Here is a 10236-nt window from a genome sequence, read left to right on the forward strand (position 1 = left end):
TTTGGAAAAGTGAAAAAATGAAAACATATATTCTTTGAAAACAGGCGGTTTGCCCATTTTTTTAAATGGATATTAACCCTTTATCAGACATATGGTTTACAAAATTTTCTCCCATTTCATGGTTTGCTTTTTCATTTTGTTGATTGTTTCTTTTGTCATGCAGAAGCTTTTTTAGTTTGATGTATTACCATTTGTTTATTTTTACTTTTGTTATCTGTTCTTTTGTTGTTACATCAAAAAAATTGCCAAGACCAATGTCATGAAGCTTTTTTTTATGTTTTCTTATAAAATTTTTGCAGTTTCAGATCTTACATTTAAATATTTAATCCATTTAAAGTTGATTTTCCGTATATAGTGTAACATAAGGGTTCAGTTTTATTTTATTTTATTTTTTTGGATACAGATATTCAATTTCCCAGCACCATTTATCGAAGAGGCTACCCTTTTCCCGTTGCATACTCTTGGTGCTTTTGTCAAAGATTAGTTGACCATATATGTGTGGGTTTATTTCTGGGCTTTCTGTTCGGTTCCTTTATTCTATATGTCTGTTTTTAAGCCAATACCATACTGTTTTGATTACTATAGATTTGTAATATAACTTGAGACTGGAAAATGTGATGCCTTCAGCTTTCTTCTTTCTTCTTAATATTGCTTTAGCTATCTAAAGCAATATTTAATCTGTGAAAATGCCACTGGAAATTTCATAGAGATTGCATTCAATCTGTAGATGACTTTGGGTAGTGTGGACATTTTCACAATATTGACCCTTCTGATCTATGAAGGTAGGATAGATTTCCATGTATTTGTATCTTCTTCAATTTCTTTCATCATTGTTTTACGGTTTTTAGTGTACAGATCTTTCACCTCCTTGGTTAAATTTATTTCAAGGTGTTTTATTCCTTTTGATGTTTGTAAATAGGATCATTTTCTAAATTTCTCTTTTACATAGTTCATTGTTAGTGTACATAAATGGAATTGATTTTTGTATGTTGATTTTGTATTCTGCAAATTTAATAAATTTGTTTATTAGTTCTAATACTTTTTTACTAGAGTCTTTAGGGTTTTATATAATTTAAGATCGTATCATCTGCAAACAGAGATGGTTTTACTTTAATAGTAATTTAGACACCTTTTATTTCTTTTTCTTTAATAATTGCTCTAACTAGGAATTCCAGTACTATGTAGAATAAAGGTAACAAGATGGCATATTTGTCTTGATCTTGATCTTAGAGAAAAGGCTTTCAACTTTTTACTGTTGAAAATGATGTTAGCTATGGGCTTGTAATATATTACCTTTATTGTGTTAAAGTATATTTCTTTTATACCTAATTTGTTGAGAGTTTTTGTCATGAAGGGATGTTGAAATTATCAGATGCTTTTTCTGCATCCGTTGAGATGATTATATGGCTTTTGTTCTTCACTCTGTTAATATGGTGTATCGTTTATTGATTTGTATATGTTGAGCCATGCTTGCATCCCAGGGATAAATCCCACTTGATTATAATGTATGATCATTTTAATGTGATGTCAAATTCAGTTTGCTGATATTTTGTTGAGAATTTTAACAACTATATTCATCAGAAATATTGTCCTGTAATTCTCTTTTCTTGTAGTATCCCTGTCTGGTTTTGGTATCAGGTAATGCTGGCTTCATAAAATGAGTTTAAAAGGACTCCCTCTTCTCCAATTTTCTGGAAACATTTGAGAACAATTAGCATAAGTTCTTCTTTAAATGTTTGATAGAATCTGGCAGTGAAGCCATCAGGTCCTTGGCTATTATTTGATGGGAAAAATTTTATTACTAATTTAATCTCCTCAATCATTGATCTGTTCAGATTTTTTTCTTCATGATTCAGTCTTAGTAGGTTGTATGTGTCTAGGAATTTATACATTTCTTCTAGGTTCTCCAATTTGTTGGTGTATAATTCTTCATAGTAGTCTCACAATTCTTTGTATTTCTGTGGTATCAGTTGTAATATCTTCTCTTTCATTTTGGATTTTAATAAAAAAAGAATCAAGTAGTACAAGTTACATTATCTCTCTCCAGTGGGATTATATTAGAAATTAATAGTAGAAAAATCTGGAAAATCTCCAAATACTTGGAAACTAAATACATGTATATAAACTACCTATGGGTCAAAGAATAAATCAAAGGAGGAATTATAGAGTATTTTGAAGTAAATAAGGATAAAAACGCAATATATCAAAAATTTTTGAAATGCAGCTAATTCAGTACACAGAGGAGAACTCATAGCACTAAAATATTTACATTAGTGTACAGTAAAGGATTAACCTTGCCCAAAGAAAGTTTTGGTCCTCCCTTTTCCCTAGGCTTTGGATCATAACTTTTAAACCCTTGGAATGTCCTGCCTGATTAAAATAACTTTGTTTATCTGGGAGGGTTTGGGCCATACCAGACAGCCTATGCTAACAATGATTTATGGTGGGGACTTTAGGCTACACAGTGTATTAGTGTGTCCAAACCCCTGTAAAAAGCTCTGGACAAACCTCCAATAAAAACTCTGGACACAAAGCTCAGGTGAATGACTCCAGTTTTAAAAATTCGAAATTTGTGTGAAACCACCAATAACTAAAGTAATATTGAGAAAAAAGAAAGTCAATACTTTATGCATACTGTGACACATCATTGCTGAGAGAAATAAGTGCTGTTTGCACATCTCTGCTGGGGACAACTGGAAGCTGCATGCCTACGCTCTCTTGAACCCTGCTCTATGAGCCTCTTCCCTTCACTGTCTTTAATCTGTATTTCCACTCTAATAAACTGTGAGTATTGTGGCCTTCTTGAATTCTTTGAGTTCTTCCAGTGAATCACTAAACAGGAGTGATTTAGTGGAGTCCTCTTGAATTTGCCACTAGAAAATGAAAGTTCTCAAATCAATGACCTCAGATTCCACCTTATAAACTAGAAAAAGAAGAGCAAATTAAGCCTAAAATTAAGCTGAAGAAAGAAGGTGATAAATATCACAGGAGAAATTAGTGAAATGGAGAACACAAAACCAGTAAAGAAAAACCAAAGTAACCAAAAGTTTGTTATTTGAGAAGATCAATAAAATCGATAGGGTGCTAGCAGACTAATCAGGAAAAAAGAGAGAAAATATAAATTACTCATATTAGGAATGAGAGAGAAGGTACTGCTACAAAATCTACAGGTATTAAAAGAATGTTAAAGGAATATTATAAACAACTTTATGTCAAAAAATTTTGAGCAGAATAGAGAATCCAAAAGTAGATCCACACATATTTGGACAACTGACTTTCAACAAAGCTGAAAAGGCAGTTCACTGGGGAAAGAATAGTTTTTCAGTAAGTGGTTCTGGAGCAATTAGCTAACCATATGCAAAATAACAATAATAAACCTCAACCTTGCCTTATACCAGCAACACATACTCACTCAAAATGGATTATACATTTAAACAGATTTGCTAAAACTATAAAGGTTCTAGAAGAAGACATGAGAGAAAATCTCAGTAATGTTGGGCTTATTAGTGATTCTTAAATAAAACACAAAAAGCATGAAGCATAAAAGAAAAAAGCTGAATTTCATCAACATTTAAAACTAGATGGTGAAAAGATAACACTAAAGGAATGAAATGTTTGCTGGGTGCAGTGGCTCACGCCTGTAATCCCAGCACTTTGGGAGGCCAAGGCGGGAGGATCACTGGAGGCAGGGAATACAAGACCAGCCTGTCCAACATGGAGAGACCCCATCTCTAGTAAAAATACAAAATTGGCCGAGCGTGGTGGCACATGCCTGTGGTCCCAGCTGCTCGGGAGGCTGAGGCAGGAGAATTGCTTGAACCCAGGTGATGGAGGTTGTGGTGAGCCGAGACTGTGCCATTACACTCCAGCCTGGGTGACAGACAGAGACTCTGTCTAAAAAAAAAAAAAAGAAAGAAAGAAAGGCACAGGTCCACACAAAGACACAAATTTTCATAACAATTTTATTTGTAATAGTCAAAATTTGGAAAAAATCCAATTGCCTATTAATGGGCGAACTAATGCTGAAATTGTCATGTATCCACACAAAGGAAAATTAGCAATAAAAAGAATGAACTATTTAAATTTAAAACAACATAGATAAATCTCAAAATAATATGATGAATAAAAGTAAAGAAACAAAAAAGAGTACATAGTTTATAATTGCATTATATTAAATTCTAGAAAACACAAAGAAATCTATAGTAATAGAAGAAGCACTCTATCAGTGTTTGTCTGGGAACAGCATGGAGAGAAGGATGGAATTATAAAAAGCCACAAGGCTATTCACAATAGCAAAGACATGGAATCAAACCAGGTGCCCATCAATGGTAGATTGGATCAAGAAAATGTGGTACATATACACCATGGAATGGTACGCAGCCATAAAAAAAGAATGAAATTATGTTCTTTGCAGCAAAATGGATGCAGTTGGAGGCCATAATCCTAAGCAAATTAATCCAGGAACGGAAAACCAAATATCGCATGTTATCACTTAAAAGTGGGAACTAAACATTGAGCATACATGGATATAAACAATGGAACAATAGACATTGTGAACTACCAGAAGGGGGAGAGAGACAAGGGGAAGTGTTTTGAAAAACTACCTATCAGGCACTATCTTCTGTACCTGGGTGACAAGATCTGTACTTCAAACCTCAGTACAAACCTCAGTATTAGGCAATATTCCCATGTAACAAATCTGCACATGTTCTCCCTGTATCTAAAATAAAAGTTGAAATTTAAATAAATAAATAAATAGCGGGCCACAGCAAAACTTTTGGAGGTGATGTGTAAGTTCATTACATTAAGTTTTATGATGGTTTCCCAGGTGTTTGCGTATGTCAAAGCTTACCAAATTGTACATTTTAAAGATGTCTATTGTTTGTCAAGTGCATTTTAATAAAGCTGTAAAAGAAAGAATTATTTTTGATACAGTGTTAGGACAACAGAAAACCACTGAGAAAATTTAAGCAAGAGAATGTCAATAATTAATGCCACATTTTAACTAATTAACTGCAATTAATCACAATCAATCAGTAAGAAAAGGTTTTGTGCTGAAGATTTTCCAGAGAGATAAGTAAGCAAGTATATCATGCATGCAGTGGAGCAGGGCAGAGCCTCATAAAATCCCTCTTAAACGTGTCTGTTCTTTTGCCAAATTTCCATTCTGGTTGCCAGCTACCTTTTTCCTCCTCTTTCTTTCCACAGCCACTGCCATCCTCATTATAGCCCCAGACAATTCAGCTCTTGAAAGTGTATCCAGCAAAACAAAAGTGTAACAGCAGCTCAGCACCACTTGGAAAGCAGTTGCATAGCCACCTCTTTCTCTACAAGCTCAGTCCTTCCTGAGGTTGCCCTCTCACCTATTCCCCTACATCAAAAGTGACTCATCAAAGTATTCAGTAGACAAAATTAGTCTCTATCCAGGGAGAATTCACTACTTGGAAAGTAAGATGTTCTGTTTCTCATTACATACAAAAAAAAAAAAAGTTGATAAAATCACAGAATTCAGTTTGAGAGAGAGGAAGATACTAAATGTCATTTGTCATTCTGACCTTGAAGTCACATTGAGTCCAATTCAATCAGAAAAGTGCAAGTGAAAATTTGGATTTTTAATGAGACACCAGGACTAGAAATACTGACTTCAGGGGTCATCCGCAGAGAGAAAATAGTTGAAATGTTTGGAATGGATGAGATCTCCAAAGCAACAAGTGAAGAAAAAGGAACAAAGGTCCAAAAATAAAAACTGTTGAACATCCACACTTATAGGTAAAAGGAGGGGAAAAGTAAGCTTAAGAAATTAAGAAAGTAGTTCTAGAGGGAAGACAAGAAATGGGATGGTATCTTGGAAGTTCAGAGGAGACTGTGGGTACAAAGAGGTGGCAGCAGGATTTAAAAGAACTTTAAAAATTCAGTAAAATTAGGACTGAATGACTTCACCGATGTTGTTGACTAGAGGAGGAGAAAGTAGCAGATTCAGAGCACTCATTTGACAAGTTTAGGGGCAGAGCGAGTAAGGGAGAGGTTAAAGGGAATGGTAGAGTTGAATACAGTCTTTTATTCCAACGTATTTATAGTCTGATTATATAGAAAGCCAAGAGGAAGAACTACATAAAGACAGGAAAATTGAAGATGCTAAAGAAAGAAGATATTTGAGAAACAAAGAGGCATGTGGATTAATTATTGGACATCAAGAAGGGGGAACTTTTTTCCTCTGAAATAGGAAAAGAAGAGAAAATGCGTAAAAGATAGACCTGCACTGAGGAAGGCCAACATACATACAGAAAGAGGCTAGATCTAATGATCGGTTGAATGTAATGTTTTTAAAAACCCACCATTTCACCCATCAGATTGGCATAATTAAAAGAATCAATAGTATCTGATGTTGGCAAGCATGTAGGGAAATAACATGCTCTCATGCACAGCTGGAAAGTAAACTGCAACAGTCTTTATGGAGGGTAATTTGGCAGTGTTTATTGAAACTCCACATGGCCGGGCGCAGGGGCTCACGCCTGTAATCCCAGCATTTTAGGAGGCCAAGGCGGGTGGATCACAAGGTCAAGAGATCGAGACGATCCTGGCCAACATGGTGAAACCCCGTCTCTATTAAAAAAAAAACACAAACATTAGCTGGGCATTGTGGCACGTGCCTGTCGTCCCAGCTACTCGGGAGGCTGAGGCAGGAGAATTGCTTGAACCCGTGAGGTGGAGGTTGCAGTGAGACGAGATCATGCCACTGCACTCCAGCCCGGCGACAGTGCAAGACTCCGTATCGAAAAACAAACAAACAAAAAAACACAAAAAAAACAAAAACTGCACATAACATTTGACTCAACAACTTACTTCTCAGAAACAATTCCATAAAAATACATGCATAGGTGGGCAGAAAATTTTGCCAGGACTTCTGTTATAGCCTTATAAAGGGCAAAGTATAGGCAATATGTAAATATCCATCAGTAGAGAATTGGACAGATAAATATCCATAACATACATTTTAACAACAGTTAAAATGAACAAAATAGAACAAGATGTGGTAACATGGAAATATCCCCAAGGTATGTTGTTCAGTGAAAAAAGTAAGTTGCCAAGTAATATGTACAAAGCAATATGGTTTATATCAAAACACATTCAAAACATACACAAAGCAGTTAGCATACACGTGTGTGTATATATGTGTGTGTGTGTGTGTGTATATATATATGTATGTGCCCACACACACACATATATATGTATGTGCCCACACATACATATATATATATGTATGTGCCCACACACACATATATATATATGTATGTGCCCACACACACATACACACAGATACACATTCATTCATTTAACCAAGAGTAATGGGGTGCCAACTATCCATTTCCATGAAGTTTATTTTAGTAGAGAATGCAAATACGTAGAGAGAAAAAGGACCGGAAAATGCACACAAGATTGATAATAATGGTTATTTCTGGAAAAGACAGCAAGAAAGAGAAGTGTCAAGATAATCTTTGATCTGCAGTGTTTATATTTTTGAGGTACATGTATTTTTAGACTATGTATTGAGAACCACCAATTATGAGTCCAACTTGCACTCCATTTTACTTATTTGAGAAGGTAAATAAGAGAATTCAGAACATTAGGCTCAAACTCCAATTCCTTTGCTTCAGTCTATAGTAAATACCTATTGAGAATAGCACCAAAAAGCAGTCAGAATGAGAGGAAAGAAAAAGAAGCAATGATGTGAATGGATGATCCCAGAAAGAGTGATACTATGTGGATTGAATATGCTGGAAATTTTTTTTAAATGTCAAGAAAGACCTGTCTTGTGAGACAAAGGCATGCAGTTTTTGTCCCATGTGGTGTAAGATTTAAGATCTAAAGGGTTACTCAATAGATAGGCTGTCCTCATAAATAAAGGCCAGAGAGAGAGAAACGAGAAAAGAACATTAATCAGTTACTGCATCATCTTTGGATGTGAAAATAGGTCAACAGAGAATGTTAAGTCATAGATTTCAAGGGGTCTGTAGACATTAAAGGCAAAGACCTCAAAGAATGACAAGCAGAGATAGGGTGGTAGAGATGGCCAAAAGCATATGAGTCCCCCACCACCCACCAGGGCCTGTCCTGCAGTGTTGGTTTTGGAGAGCCCATTGGTAGAGAAAAGTAGAAATTTTAGTATCCAAAGAGAAAAATCATGGTTTAGATAGGGCAAGGATGTGAATCTAGAAAGACACTGAGGAAACAAGAGAACAGCGTATACAACATAGCAGACATTAACTGCATAATGTGATTCACAATAGGGATGAGACTGGATGTGACCAACAGGATGGCTCAAAGGAACCAAGTCAAAACAGCCAGGATGGGGGTCCAGTGCACTGCCTCTGGGAGTGGTTAATTGGGATAATGGAAACATTGGGGCAGCGAAAAGAGGAACCATTCAGAGGAAAGTCAGAATGAGGACTGAGGTGTCTGGTTGCTCTCACTCCCAGAGCAAGATACATCAAAGAAGGAAAATCAAATTCAAGGAGCAAGAGGTCAGCATACGTGTGCACAAACACAAACACACACACCCCTACATACACACACATATACACATGCACACACATGCACACTTTCATACATGCACCCTAAGATTCCAAATGTAAGGATTGCACTGAGTCATACCAGCAGCAACAATCACTTGACCTGTCAGGGATGTTTATTTGTGACTATATTATGAAGAGAAGTGAGGATGTGAGAAAGTTTTACTTCATATCTCTGCTTAAAATCCTGCTGTGCTCTGTTAAAAGTAATGTGCTATATTATAATTGAATGGTCACTGACTAAGGGATGTTGAGACAAAAGAAATGTGGAAAAAAATTTAGGAAAGTAAGGAGTTACGAAAGAGGTGTTTTATGAAAAACAACAAAGTTTATGTGCAAATTGAAAATAAATGACAAAGAAAGTCCCAAATCAGTTTTGAAATTAGTAGACCAGCCTGGCCATCATAGTGAAACCCCATCTCTACTAAAAATACAAAAATTAGCTGGGCATGGTGGTGCGTGCCTGTAATCCCAGCTACTCGGAAGGCTGAGGCAGGAGAATCCCTTGAACCCGGGAGGTGGAGGTTGCCGTGAGCCAAGATCGCACCACTGCACTCCAGCCTGGCAACAGAGAGACTCCCTCTCAAAAAAAAAATAAATAAATAAATACATAAAGAAAAAAGAAAAAATTAGTAGACTAAAGAGACATAAAGGATGGATAATTTCTTTTATTCTTAACAGATAACATATTATATTATGAATACTTGCTGTGTCCAGGTGCCATCTAGTTGTTTTTAACATTATCACCCTTAAAATAAAGCTACATAATCCTGAGAGGCAGTTGTTATTTGTCCCACTTAACAAATGAAGGCATTGAAGCTTGGAGAGACTAAATTACTTGCCCAGAGTCACACTGCACAGGCAGCATCTGGGTCCAATCTAATGCTGACTGACTATGAAGCTCACGTGTTTAATCTACACACTGTATTATTTCCCATCATACAGCAAGAGCAGCAGGGATTTGTGTCGCAACTGTGCAGACACTGCAGTTTCTCTGAAATCTATTAGTTCTTCTTGTTCCCCAGGCACTGTTCTTAGTGTTGTGTGTGTTTAATTCAACTTTATCCTGATAAAGTCCCTATGCTGTAGGTGCTTATGTTGTCACCTCTACCCCACAGATAAGAAAGCTGAGTCAGAGATGAGTTTGAGGATTCTGCCCATGGTCAACAAGATTAGTATTTGAGCCAAGCTACCAAGCCAGGAGTCTGACTCCAAAGCTTTCAGTGGTAGAGAAAAGTAGAAATTTTAGTATCCAAAAAGAAAAATCATGGTTTAGATAAGGCAAGGATGTGAATCTAGAAAAAACACTGAGAAAACAAGAGAATACTGTGTGCAACACAGCAGACATTAACTGCATAATGGGATCCACAATACGGATGAGACTGGGTGCAACCAACAGGATGGCTCAAAAGAACCAAGTCAAAACAGCCAGGATGGGGGTCCAGTGCACTGCCTCTGGGTGCGGTTAACTGGGATAATGGAAGAAGTGAAGGATCAGAAGATAAGGATTAAGGAAAGAGAAAAGAACATGTATCAGTTACTGAATCATCTTTGGATGCCAAAATAGGTCGACAGAGACTGTTAAGTCATAGATTTCAAGGGGTCTGTAGACATTAAAGGCAAAGACCTCAAAGAATGACAAGCAGAGACAGGGTGGTAGCGATGG

This window comes from Homo sapiens, chromosome 7 (genome assembly GCF_000001405.40).
Source record: "Homo sapiens chromosome 7, GRCh38.p14 Primary Assembly".
In the NCBI taxonomy this organism is placed as follows: Eukaryota; Metazoa; Chordata; class Mammalia; order Primates; family Hominidae; genus Homo; species Homo sapiens.